This window comes from Homo sapiens, chromosome 15, assembly GCF_000001405.40.
Source record: "Homo sapiens chromosome 15, GRCh38.p14 Primary Assembly".
NCBI lineage: Eukaryota > Metazoa > Chordata > Mammalia > Primates > Hominidae > Homo > Homo sapiens.
In genome coordinates, this window is record NC_000015.10 from 32,519,369 (window position 1) to 32,534,269 (window position 14,901).

General features: G+C 38.5%; 1 pseudogene across 1 annotated transcript; it reads right to left on the reverse strand.

The window, feature by feature from the left end:
- Positions 1 to 479: 479 nt before the first annotated feature.
- Positions 480 to 14,373, reverse strand: WHAMMP1 (WHAMM pseudogene 1; annotated as a pseudogene). The gene is made up of 7 exons (NR_036650.1): positions 13,844 to 14,373; positions 10,415 to 10,570; positions 9,164 to 9,333; positions 7,445 to 7,610; positions 3,661 to 3,845; positions 3,174 to 3,199; positions 480 to 813 (listed from the first exon to the last, which is right to left on the reverse strand). The product of NR_036650.1 is annotated as a WHAMM pseudogene 1 (transcript).
- Between the last annotated feature and the right edge of the window lie 528 nt (positions 14,374 to 14,901).

Genomic DNA, 14,901 nt, shown 5'->3' on the forward strand with positions numbered 1-14,901 from the left:
ATCATGATACACTGCCAATATAAGAACTCCCTTTTGGCCAGGCGCGATGGCTCACACCTGTAATCCCAGCACGTTGGGAGGCTGAGGAGGGCGGATCACGAGGTCAGGAGATGGAGACCATCCTGGCTAACACGGTGAAACCCCGTCTCTACTAAAAACACAAAAAAAATTAGCCGGGCGTGGTGGCGGGCGCCCGTAGTCCCAGCTACTCAGGAGGCTGAGGCAGGAGAATGGCATGGACCCCGGAGGTGGAGCTTGCGGTGAGCCGAGATCGTGCCACTGCACTCCAGCCTGGGCGACAGAGCGAGACTCCGTCCCCCTCAAAAAAGAAAAAAAAAAAAAAAACTCCCTTTTTAGAAAGATCTTTTATTCAACTTACCAAAATTTTAATTGCCAATGGAACAGAAACCAGCACAAATAAGAACTTGTAACTTACCCAGGTACAAGTGAATTTCAATGACTGAAATTCAGGGGCATTCTAAGCAAGAATAGTTCAATAGTAACTAATCTCATTATTTTTCATTTTTATTAAGTCATATTTATTATTCATAGTGTGATTTCTCATCAAGGAGTTATTTAACATGCCAAAAGCCTGCATCTCTTTAACTAGGTCTTTATGCATAGGGAATGTTTAAGTATCCACAAAAGTAATACATACTAACCAATTTTTTAGAGTTTAACATATATATTTGAAGATATGTTTTCCCCAAATGTACAGTTCTTTGTGGCCTGGATTGCCTCAGGAAACTGCCTCTGCCTGTTGTGGGTATCATGGCAAGTAAGGGCACTGGTAATTTACTGCTGAGAAAATGCCTAGCCGTTTGCCTAATTATGCCATGTCATCTTCCTCACACTACAGAGCACGGTAACCTCATTTCCAAAATCAAAGACAGAACAAATCTGAACAGCTACTGTTCCTGAGGCAAACAAGTGAATAAATTCCAAAACATGCCATGGACTCACCGACGATGAATTTTAGACAATTCTTTTTTTTTTTTTGAGATGGAGTCTCGCTCTGTCGCCCAGGCTGGAATGCAGTGGCGCGATGTCGGCTCACTGCAAGCTCCGCCTCCTGGGTTCACGCTATTCTCCTGCCTCAGCCTCCCGAGTAGCTGGGACTACAGGCGCCCACCACCACTCCCGGCTAATTTTTTTGTATTTTTAGTAGAGACGAGGTTTCACAATGTTAGCCAGGATGGTCTCGATCTCCTGACATTGTGATCTGCCGCCTCAGCCTCCCAAAGTGCTGGGAGTACAGGCGTGAACCACCGCGCCTGGCTGGATTTTAGACAATTCTACATCGTCTGTTGAATCTATCGTCTGTTGAATCAGCTTTCTATTAACCACACACTATAGAAGTGAAACGAACCTGTACTACCAAGAGTGTATTAATTTTGCATGCATTTCCTAGTAAACAATGTAGACAGTATTAATTTTTATGTTGCCAAGGTAATAGTTTTGTCCCTCAACTCATATGCTAAATTTTGCCTCACCTGGCTCAGTCAGAAGGAACAGAATTGACAATATTAACTAGTCTCAGTTATCTCCACTGACAGAAAAAAAAACGTGTTATTTTCTACACGGACTGTGGGAATCAGCATTTTCTGTTATTAACTTAAGATTTTTTTTCTTGCCATTTCTCTTTATGATCCCAATGTATTGATGTATTTCTAACACTACAACAAGATTTGTGTCACTCAACTGTGTGTTGTAATCATTGTCTTTTAACCATTTATATCCATGAAACTGATGTCATTGAAAGATAGAAAACAGAAACAAAAAGCATAGAAGGGAGAGAGGGAGGAAGACTTTAGTCATGATACAATGCCAATGTAAGGACTCCTTTTAAGAAAGATTTTAAAAAATTTCTTCATCAAAATTTCCATTGCCTCCTTGAATGAACTGTGAAGGATTGCAAATTCCTTTAAAACTTGGTTTTGGCAACGAATCTGGATTTCCTTCATTAGCCAGGTATACAGAATTCATTTTCCAATGCTCTATTAAAAATAAGAGGCTGGGCACGGTGGCTCACGCCTGTAATCCCAGCACTTTGGGAGGCTGAGGCGGGTGGATCACAAGGTCAGGAGATGGAGACCATCCTGGCTAACACGGTGAAACCCCGTCTCTACTAAAAATACAAAAAATTAGCCGGGTGTGGTGGCGGGCACCTGTAGTCCCAGCTACTCAGGAGGCTGAGGCAGGAGAATGGCGTGAACCCAGGAGGCGGAGCTTGCAGTGAGCCGAGACTGCGCCACTGCACTCCAGCCTGGGCGACAGAGTGAGACTCCATCTAAAAAAAAATAAAATAAAATAAAATAAATAAAAAAGGGAAGATTCCCTTAATGTTTCCCAGTCTATTAAAGGTTTCCTTCCAAAAGGAGCTCATTCTGATCCCATTTAGTACAACACCCTCGTGTATGCCAGATGGCACAGGCATCATAGCTTCACAAATGTCATTCTGATTCTCACCTTTAAAATGAAATTCCCTTAGTCTACCTTTCTTTACATAAACTACAAAATTGTAGACAAAGACATGCCAAATTAAAAGCCTCTTTTGCTAAATATTCTAGAAATAATTTGAGAAAAATGGGCGCAATTTGAGACCTTAGTTGTCTTGGAAAGGGAGTAGGTGGGTATTTGACTATGATTCTGGTTGGTATTTCTCCTGTTAACTATTTAAATGTGTGACCTTAAAAGAAAATCATTCAGTCTTGTTGAGACTAATAAATGTCTCACCCAAAAAAAATGAACTTAAAATTTCTCCTATGTGTCTTATAGCTCAAAAATTTTCAATTCTGTTTCAAGCCATTCTAACATCCTGGATATTTTCCTGGATATTATAATATCCAGCTTATAATCTGCATAGGTAAAGTTTTATTTGTATTATGTTCCTTAGGTTTTGTTAAGTTTCTTGCAAGTAGGTTGATATTCTTTAATGTTTAAGTATTAAATCTGAGGTGAGCTGAATAGTTACCTGTTATTGTTTTGTGTACTCAATAATTTACAGTAAAATATATTTAGAATTGTTATAGTTGGTTATTAGAAATAGAGTTTCTACCTATTGTGGTTTTTAAAGTACCTGTGGTCCAGGGGCAGTGGCTCACACCTGTAATCCCAGGACTTTGGGAGGCCAAGGTGGGCGGATCACTTGAGGTCGGGAGTTCAAGACCAGCCTAGCCAACATGGCGAAACCCCGTCTCTACAAAATATACAAAAATTAGCTGGGCGTGGTGGCGCGTACCTGTAAACCGAGCTACTTGGCAGGCTAAGGCACTAGAATTGCTTCAACCTAGGAGGCGGAAGTTGTAGTGAGCCAAGATCTTGCCTCCACACTCCAGCCTGGGTGACAGAGCAAGACTCTGTCTCAAAAAAATAAAAATAAAAGTGCCTGTGTATGCAGTGGGCATTCAACAAATAGTTGTTAAATGAATAAATTAAAACCTTGAGATTTGCTAAATGCTTAAAACCCAAAAGAAAAAAATAATATTTTTAAGAAAAATATTAAAAATCATTTTAACTATAGCCATGGATAAGTACATAAGCACACAAAAAATTAATCACTGTGTTGGTAAAAACCTTATTTCAATACCTCTTTATCCTTCATACAAGAATAAATCTCTGGAAGAGAAAAGAAAAGAAAGCCGCTCTGAGCGTACCTACCTTTCTACTCTGGAGAGAAGCTCTTTTGACACAGACTGCCCCGTTTAACAGACTCCAGCTGCTGGCACTGCCTTCTGAGTTCTTTCACTTCCGAATTCTTATCGTCCTGCAGCCCCACCACAGTCAATGACTAAGTTCCTCTGGACTTTCACATGGATCGTAATAGACAACTTCATCCTGTTTTTCTAAAAAGGTATTAATGATTGTTTAAAACATATTTTATTATTTGTAAAAATGCACTCAATTTTTTTAAATGTAAGGAAAATAAAGATCACTTGTAATCCCACCACTGAGAATCACTATTAACATATAAAAAATGTATGTGTATAAATGTAATATACATATACACATGTATATATACATGACTATACACATGTATTAAGTAGCATGTGTGTATATACATGTAAGTAGTATATGCACGTATATATACCTGTACAGACATACGTATATATACACACGCACATACACATACTACTTACATAGCTACACTTATCAATGGAGTTCTAAAAGAACATTTTCCATGGGATGGAAATAAATTTTTAGGCCAGGTGCGGTGGCTCACGCCTGTAATCCCAGCACTTTGGGAGGCCAAGACAGGCGGCACACCTGAGGTCAGGAGTTCAAGACCAGCCTGGCCAACATGGCAAAACCCCATCTCTACTAAAAATACAAAACTAGTTGGGCACAGTGGCGTGTGCCTGTAATCCCAGCTACTCAGGAGGCTGAGGCAGGAGAACAGCATGAACCTGGGAGGCAGAAGTTGCAGTGAGCCGAGATCGTGCCACTGCACTCCAGCCTGGGCAACAGAGCAAGACTCCATCTCCAAAAATAAAAAAAAATTTAAAAAGATAAATTTTAATGGCAGCATAGTATTCTCTAATTTAAGCAATCCATGTTGTTAGGCTGTTCCAATGTTCCATTATTATTCATTTCACTGTGATAAACATCTCTGTATAAATCTTTGTGTACACTTTTTATCACTTCCTTAGCAGATAAGTGTTTAAGGATCTTGATACCCATTGCCACACTGCCCTCCAGAAAGGCAACTTATATTCTACCAGCAATATATTATTAAGATGCCTTAGTGATATTTAATCTTGATTACATATTGATTTTTTAAAAGTCATGCTTACTGTAACAAATTCAAACCCTCCAGAAGTACATCAAATAAACAGTGAAATTCTATTGCTCATTCCCCAAACCTTCTGAGTCATTCTCAGAGGAAAAACATTATGAACAATTTGGCATGCATCCTTCCAGATTAACTTCTTTTTTTAATGTAATTTTTTTCCTAAATATGTAAACTGCTTATAACCTGAAACTACTGAAAAAAATTCTGAATACTCAGGATTAAACTAAAAGTTCAGGATCTATGTGAAGAAATTTATTAAACTTGGAGGAACTTTAGGAAAAAAGATTTAAATAAATGGAGAGAGACATACCATGTTCTTGGGTAGGAAGATTCAAAATTGCAAAGACCACTATTCTCCCCAAAGTAATCTCTAATTTTAAGCAAAATCACAATCAAAATTCCAAAGAGTTTTTTGTTTTGAACTTGATTCTAAATTTCATCTGGAAGAATAAAGGAGTGAAAATAGTCAGAAAACTTGTGAAGTAATGTGGGGGGTACTTGCCTTACCAGACCCTAAAATGTGCCTCCAAGACAGTCGTGGGAACAGTATGGAGCCAGCAGCAGAAGCCACTCACGAACCAATGGAGGAGAACAACTCAGAAACAGACCAAAGTCAATCTAATGCTTAACTGGAGAAATGTTAAACATTTAGGGAAAATGTTTTTAAAATCAGTGATTGGGACTGCTTAACAATTTGAGGGAAAGGTTCAATTCCTACCACATTCAAAATAAATTCCACCTGGACTAAAGAATTAAATGTTTTAAAAAGTAACATCATAAACATACTGAAAGAAAACATAAGTATATATTGACATAATTTTGGGATAGGAGCCTATTGCCAGACATAATACTAAAAGCAGAAGCCATAGGGGAAAAAATCAATAAACACGACTTCATAAAAATTAAATATTTCTGAAAGGCAAGAAAACGCAAATGACAAGGAGAGATTATTTGCAACATATGACAGACAATAGAGAATATTATTCTTAATGTCGAAAGGAAATATTCCAAAGAAAAATGGACAAAGACTATGACTAGGCATTTCATAAAATAAGTACAAATGGCTTGTAAACATACAAAATTTTGTTCAATATTCATTCATAATTAAATAAATGAAAATTGGAAGACTGCCATTTTCTCTGTCAAGCAAGCAAAAATGCAAAAAAATGGCATGAGTCTGGGAAACATACACACTCATATTCTGCTGATGGGAGCGTCTTTTTTTTTTTTTTTTTTTGAGACAGAGTCTTACTCTGTCGCCCAGGCTGGAGTGCAGTGGCGCCATCTCAGCTCACTGCAATCTCGACCTCCCAGGTTCAAGCGATTCTCCTGCCTCAGCCTCCCAGGTAGCTGGGATTACAGGCACCCACCACCACGCCCAGCTAATTTTTGTATTTTTAGTAGAGACAGAGTTTCACCACGTTGGCCAAGCTGGTCTTGAACTCCTGACCTCAAGTAATCTGCTCCCCTCAGCCTCCCAAAGTGCTGAGATTACAGGCGTTGAGCCACCACGCCCAGCCTGGGAGCGTCATTTTAAATGTACAACCTATCTAGAGGGCCACTACATAGTATGAAATTTAGAAATCAGAAAATAATACGGAGGTGAGGAAAAATGTATCTCAGATGATTGTTGTATTATTACGTAGCAAAATGTAAAATATACATTGTCCTTGACCCAATAATTCCATCCTTAGATATTTATTCTAAGGAGATAATCTGTCCTATACTCAAAAAGACATGTGTAAAGGAAAGTTCACTACACTACTGTTCAAAACAGCGGAAATTTGGAAATCACGGTATATCCATATAATGGAATACTATGCAGCCATTAAAATTTTGATACTTTTATTATTTCTGAAATAGACAATTAGTATGTATTAAATGAAAAAGAGACTATTATGCATTGTATGCCTGTGTCAAAATATCTTATGTAACCCATAAATATATATATCTACTATGCACCCATAAAAATTAAAAAATTTTTAAAAAGATGTTACTGAACTGGTTATGTAGTTTTGGTTAAAAATTTATATTTTTATATATCAGCATATTTTAAAATCTACAAAGTTATACAGCAAATTGTTACCACTAAGTATCTCTTTTTTTTTTTTTCTTTTTTAGACGGAGTCTCGCTCTGTCTTCCAGGCTGGAGTGCAGTGGCACGATCTTGGCTCACTGAAACTTCCACCTCACGGGTTCAAGCCATTCTCCTGCCTCAGCCTCCCAAGTAGCTGGGATTACAGGCACGTGCCACCACATCGGACTTTGTATTTTTAGTAGAGACAGGGTTTAGTATTTTTGTATTTTTAGTAGAGATGGGGTTTCACCATGTTGGTCAGACTGGTCTGGAACTCCTGACCTCAAGTGATCCGCCCGCCTCAGCCTCCCAAAGTGCTGGGATTATAGGCGTGAGCCACTGTGCCCAGCCAAACACTAAGCATCTCTAGATGATGGGATTGAAGTAATAATCATTTTTCTTTCTTTGTTTTGCTATGTGCTAACAATGAATATATTATTTGAATAATAAACTACTGAAGGAAAACTTTAGGAAATTTTCAGATGTTACAGTTTACAAAAAGTAATTGATAATATGGTCTGTATTTCCTTAAATTTATAAACATTGTTATCTATATACTTAAATATAAACTTTACCTTTTATAAGTCTTTTAAGAGAGTCCAACTGTGTAGTAAGCAGTATTTCTTCGTTTTTTAATATCTCAAATTTAACTTCATATAGTTCTAACTGAATTTCATAAAATTGCATTTCTAATTCATCTACAACATTTATATTTTTTTCTTGTTCTGGAAGATCTTCCATCTTATTTTCATAGAAAAAAGAAAAATAAGTTAAAATAAATAGTATATTAAAAACAAACTTCAGAAGCATTCTAGCTATTTTCTATTCCTTGTTCAATACTAAATATAAAAAAGCAAATAGGAAAGAAACACTTTTTCATTTCATCTAGTGATGCTAATATTTTATCTCATCCTTGAAACAGAAAAACATTTAGGTTTTGAGAAACATAAATGGCAATGAGGTATTATTATGTATTGCATATTGGTGTCCCCACAAAATTCATATGTTGACACTCTAACTCCCAATGTGATGTTATTTGGAGGTGGGTCCTTTGGAAGTAATTAGGTTCAGATTATGTCAAAAGGATAGCACCCCCATCATGGGATTAGTGCCATTAGAAGAGAAAGACAGGGATCACTTTCTTTCTCTCTAAACTTACACACAGAAGAAAGGCTATATGAGCACTCAGTTAAGAAGGCAGCTGTCTACCAGACAGGAAGAGGATCCTCACCGGACAGTGAATCTGCAGGCATCTTGGACTTCCCAGCCTCCAGAACTGTGAGAAATACATGTCCGTTGTTGAAGCCACCCAATCTGTGATATTTAATCTTGTTATAGCAGCCTTAGCCAACTAAGACAGGTGGTTACAGTGTTTTCTGCTTTAAGGTCATAAGATTATAGGAAAAAACTTAAGTGTCTATGATCCTTCAGTGAAGTATCTCTTTGATTATTTTAAAGCTGTACTGAAAACATTGCTGGATTGATATTCAAGTACAGTACCCACTTCAATACTGGGCTTGGTGTTACTATAAAGTAAATCCTATAATATGGTATTTTGAAACATCTTAACTAAAGGAAAACTTTATGTCTAACCTTCCATAGAAGATAGTGTTAGAATAAGTGAAGAAAAGAAGCTCTTTAACGATGCCTGGAAAGAAAAGTGCTATCTAAAAATAAAAGTGTGCTTTACCACATGGTCTCACTTATAAGTGGGAGCTAAGTAGTGTGTATACACACACAGTGTGGAATAATAGACACTGGAGACTCAGAAGAGTAAGAGGGTGGGAGGGAGGATGAGAAATATTTAATGGGTACAATTACATTATACAGGTGAAGATTACACTAAAAGCCCAAACTTCACCACTACACAATATATCCATGGAACAAAACAGTACTTGTATCCCTTATTTACACAAACTTTTTAAAAAATAAAAGTGGGGCCAGGCATGGTGGCTCACGCCTGTAATCCCAGCACTTTGGGAGGCCGAGGCGGGCGGATCACGAGGTCAGGAGATCGAGACCAGCCTGGCTAACACAGTGTAACCCCGTCTCTACTAAAAATACAAAAAATTAGCTGGGCGTGGTGGTGGGCGCCTGTAGTCCCAGCTATTCAGGAGGCTGAGGCAGGAGAATGGTGTGAACCCGGGAGGTGGAGCTTGCAGTGAGCCGAGACTGCACCACTGCGGTACAGCCTGGGCAAAGGAGCGAGACTCCGTCTCAAAAAAAATAAAAAAATAAATAAAATAAAATAAAAGTGTAGTTTTAAAACAAAGTTACGTTTATCTTTGTCTTACCTTTCCCTGAATTTCAGCTCTTTTGCGATTTAAATACAATTCTTTCGCTCTCATGAGTTGCAGAGTCTCTTGAGCTAGCATTAGCTTAAGTTTTTCCAACCTGGGAATTGCTGTGGCCCAGGCAGCCTGGCCAAATCTCTTCACATCCTGTTCCATTTCTTTTTGCATTCCTGTTGGATTATGAAAATAAAATATAATTACACCTCATTAAAAAGGGAAACATTGATCATGAGCTAATTCTTTTTTTATTGCTTCCATACTACCTGCAGAACATCTTTTTTAAAAGAAATTTTGTTTTATTAACTTTTTTATTATTATAAAAATAATACATGGTCATTAATATACAATTTTAGGTATTCAATTTTTAAAAGGACAATAATAAGTCATGATCTCACCTAGTTGAGGCAACTGCTTCTTATATTTTGGCACACTTGCTTCCATATTGTTTCTATGTCTAGCTAGACAGACAGGCTCATATGGATAGTTTGACCAAAAAACCAGGATTACCATTCTGCTTTATATCTTGTTGATTCTGCACAATATATCAGACACTCTTGCCATTTATAAAAAAAATCAAGAATCATGCTTAATAGCTATGTAGTTTTCTCTTTTATGAATGTACCATAACTTAACAAACTGACAGACATTAAGTTGTTTCCTATTTGGTGTTTTTATTAACAATTATTTAAGACTGAAAAAAAGTCCTTCACCCAGCCCGCAAGCCCCTGCACGGTCTGATCCCTGCCTGTCTTGCCAGCATTCTCCCTCGTGCCACACTGTCCTGCATTCTGTGTGATCCAGCCCTGCAGGTTTTCTGTAAGCTCCTATTTGCCAACTTCCCTCAAGCCAGGGGACCTTTACCAGTGCTATTCCTTCTGCCCGGAACACTCCTCACTTTTTCTATTCTCTCAACTTCCGTTTACCCTTCAGCTATTGGGGCAAGCACCACTTCTCAGAGGCCTTCAGCGACCACCCTGATCAAGCCCAATTTCTCTCTCACAGACCCTGAGAGCCCGATGTCTCTCTTCTTTGTGCCATTTATTGTCACTGCCATTTTCCATGTGCTTCAGTGAATAGATAATTAAGATTTCTCTCCCTTCACCAGACTGTACAATGTCTCTTGATGCTTGACACTGAATTCTTGCCACCCAGAAAACACAGTGCCTAGTGCGTAAGAGGGACTCAAATGGTATATGAATAAAATGACAATCAATTACACGTATCTGCGTAAAGCATTTTTTAGATTATCACCTGCTAATGCTTTTACTGTCTAATTAAAATAATTCACTGTGATATCTTGAATAGAGACAACAGCTTCTTCAGCCCGTCTGGTCCATTCTTCAGCTTCTTTCTCCAGGGCAACTATCCTGGAGACGTAGGACCTACGTCATCCTCATCCAAGGAATTCTACAGACAGAAGAGAAAATTATCTTACTAAGAGCTAATAGTTATGTTGACCCATTAGGAAATTGAAAGGAAATTGGTCACATGGATTAATTTAACTACAGTACTACTCAGTCAGTTAAATTTTCATTCATTCAGCAGTCCCTTACTGCATATGAATAAGGCTCTAAGCTGAGCACCACCTGGAAGACAAAAGGACACTCTGGGGCATAAAGGGGAAAAAAAAAACCTACTTTCACTTCACATGCCTAGAATAACTTTTTCTAGAGAGGAATGTTGTCAACTTATGCTTCTCTCTATTAATAATAATACACAATTGTTTAAATGAGTGATCTGTGTTGTCAAGCACTCAGCATAGGGCCTGGAACACAGCACTTAAGTGTTAGCTGTTGTTATCGTTTCTTTTAGGGATATGTAATATAATCACCTAAAAGACAGTATCTGTATATTCATGCTTATAACATGCACTGGTATTGGACTGAATGTTTGGGTCCCCCCAAAATGCATATGTTGAAGCCTAAATCCCCAGTGTGATGGTATTTGAAGATGGGGCCTTTGGGAGGTAATTAGGTCATGAGGGTGCAGCCCTCAAGAATGGGATTAATGCCCTTATAAAAAGAAGAGGAGACACAGGATCTCTCTCTCTGCTCTTCACCATGTGAAGACACAGCAAGACAGTCATCTACAAATTAAGAAACTGGCCCTCACAAGACACTGGATCTGCCAGCACCTTGATCTTAGACTACCCAGCCTCCAGAACTGTGAGAAAAAAAGTTTTGTTGTTTATAAGCCACTAATCTACGGTACTTTGTTATAACAGCCTGAACTAAGACATGTACAGCTATGTCATCCAATATGCAATTTTTCTTCTACAAAGCATAAGAAATATGTACAAGTTAGCCGACAAGGAATTACAAATCAAAACCATAACGAGATACCACTTCACACCCACTAGGATGGCTGTAACCAAAGAGACACACAATTACAAGTGTTGGTGATAATGTGGACAAATTGGAACCCTCATTTACTGCTTTTGGGAATATAAATGAGGCACCCACTTTGGAAAACCATCTGGCGTCTTTCAAAAGGTTAAACACTGAGTAATCACAGGACCCAGCAATCCTACTCCTCAGTACGTACACAAGAGCAATGAAAAGATATGTCTACACAGAAACTCACACACAAACATTCATAGCAGAATTATTCATGATAGCCAAAAAGTGGAAACAACCCAAATGTCCATCAACTGATGAATAAAATGCAATATATCCATACAATGAATATTACTGAGCAATAAAAAGAAATGAAATCCTGGTATTTGCTACAACATGGATTAGTCTTGCAAACACTGTGCTGAGTGAAAGGACCACATATTCAATAATGCTGTTGCTATGTCCAGAGTAGGGAAATCCACAGAGACAGAAAGTAGATTGGTGGTTGCCCAGGGTTGGGAGTGACTAATGGGTACAGGGTTTCTTTTGGAGGTGAAAATGTCCTGAAATTACATAGTAATGACCATTGTGCAACTTTCAATATACTAAAAATCACTGAATTGTACATCTTTTATATATACATATATACACATACATATACATACACATACACATACACATACACATACATATACACATATATACACATATACACACATATATACACATATATACACATATATATACATACATATATTCATATATATATACATATATATATATATATATAATCTGTGAATGGTATCTTAAAACAGCTGTTACTTAAAGAAAGGAAAAATATAGACCGGGTGCGGTGGCTCATGCCTGTAATCCCAGCACTTTCGGAGCCTGAGGTGGGCAGATCACCTGAGGTCAGGAGTTCAAGACCAGCCTGACCAACGTGAAGAAACCCCATCTCTACTAAAAAAATACAAAATTAGCCAGGCCGGGCATGGTGGCACATGCCTGTAATCCCAGCTACTCGGAAGGCTGAGGCAGGAGAATCGCTTGAATCCAGGAGGTGGAGGTTGCAGTGAGCTGAGATCACGCCATTGCACTCCAGCCTGGGCAACAAGAGCGAAACTCCATCTCAAAAAAAAAAAAAAAACAGAAGAAGAAAGCAAAATATATGCAAGAAGTAGACTCTCCAAATAATAGACTTTCAAAATAATGAACAGAACAACTTTATCCACAGGTTAGAGTGGCATGAGTTTCATCTAAATGTGATACTATTTTTATAGTACAATCATCTGGCAGGGGGCATGAGATTATATGTGGAAAGATGGCCCAGTGCAGGGGGCAGAAATCAAGAGATCTCTTAGGTGTCTTCTGATTCCCGTTGTTGAGACCCAAGGTAAGATATTTAACAACTCTGGACTCCAGATTCATTTGTAACACTGGAATAAGAATGCCTTTTCTGAATGGGGTCACACGGTTGTTTGATGGCTCAATGAAACAAGAGCGATAACAGCATTTACTAAAATTTAAGTTACTGAATTACAATCTAGGGTCCTGCTATTTAAATTTTCATCCTATTTTAAGAAATTTGGATGAGTCCTTAGAGGAAAACAAACTGAAGCAAATAAATATCACATCAAAAACAATTCATCAGGCTGGGCGCAGTGGCTCACGCTTGTAATCCCAGCACTTTGGGAGGCTGAGACGCGTGGCTCACTTGAGGTCAGGAGTTTTGAGACCAGCCTGGCCAACATGGTGAAACCCCGTCTCTACTAAAAATACAAAAAAAGTTAGCTGGGCATGGTAGTGCACACCTGTAATCCCAGCTACTCAGGAGGCTGAGGCAGAAGAGTCACTTGAACCTGGAGGAGGTTGCAGTGAGTCAAGATTGTGCCACTGCACTCTAGCCTGGCTGACAAAGAGAGACCCTATCTCAAAAAAAAAAAAAAAAAAAAAAGGCATCGATACAAAAAAACTCTTAACTCTTTAAAATCTGCAGGAATCTTAAGCTAGTAAGATGACCAACATAAATGTCTTCATTTTCTATCAATTTTAAATATAAATTCAATATTTAAACATGAGGGTGAACTAGGCATAGTGGCTGACGCCTGTAATGCTACGCTTTGGGAGGCCGAGGTGGGCAGACTGCTTGAGCTCAGGAGTTAGAAACCAGCTTGAGCAACATGGCAAAACCTCATCTCTATCAATAAATAAGTAAAGAAACATAAAAGTAAACCCAAACAAAGTGCAGAGATTGAACATTAAGTGTAAATAAAGAAATAATATATGACAAATAGTAAATGTGATAAAATAAAAATTAAAAAAAATACCAAAATATCAAGCTTACATAAAGTTGCAACTTCTCGCATAGCCCTAAATGGCTGCAGTAAGTACTGGAAAAACATGGTTGCCATGGTAACTAATTCCTGGTAGGCTTCATCTTCCTCTTGGTAAACTTTCATTAATGCTACCATGGTGTTGGCTTTTCCATGTCCTTGGATAACCTAGAGAGCAAATGTGAATAAAGCTCAAGTCAGACAGTGTAATACATACCCAACAAACAAAACTAAACAAAAGAAACCTTCATGTTCTCAACTTTCAATACATCAATTTAAAATATTGATTAAATATGAAAATGTCATCATCCTCCATCAAAAATGCCCAATAAAACAAGAATTGTTAAGTAAATTATGATATATCCATGGCAGAATATTATTACTGTAGTCATTCAGCACTGTGCTTCTGAAGATTGTTTAATAATATGGAGACTTTTGGCCAGGCACCGTGGCTCACGCCTGTAATTCCAGCACTTTGGGAGGCCGAGGCGGGTGGATCACTTGAGGTCAGGACTTCGACACCAGCCTGACCAACATGGAGAAACCCTGTCTGTACTAAAAATACAAAATTTGTTGGGCGTGGTGGCGCATGCCTGTAATCCCAGCTACTGGGGAGGCTGAGGCAGGAGAATAGCTTGAACCCGGGAGGCGGAGGTTGCGGTGAGCCGAGACAGTGCCATTGCATTCCAGCCTGGGCAACAAGAACGAAACTCTGTTTCAAAAAAAAAAAAAAGGAGACTTTTATAATTAAATGGAGAGGCAGAGTACAAAATTTAATCTCAACTATGCACTAAGTATGCAGCGAAAAGGACCCAAAAGAAGGTTTGAGGTGTGGATATTTTTTCATTTGACTTTTCTGACTGTGAAGGTTTTGTGAGGCTGTATTCCTTTTTAAAAGCTCCTAAGGGCCAGGCATGGTGGCTCACACCTGTAACCCCAGCACTTTGGGAGGCCACGGCAGGCAGATCACGAGGTCAGGAGATTGAGACCATCCTGGCTAACACGGTGAAACCCTGTGTATACTAACAATACAAAAAATTTGCTGGGCGTGGTGGAGGGCACCTGCAGT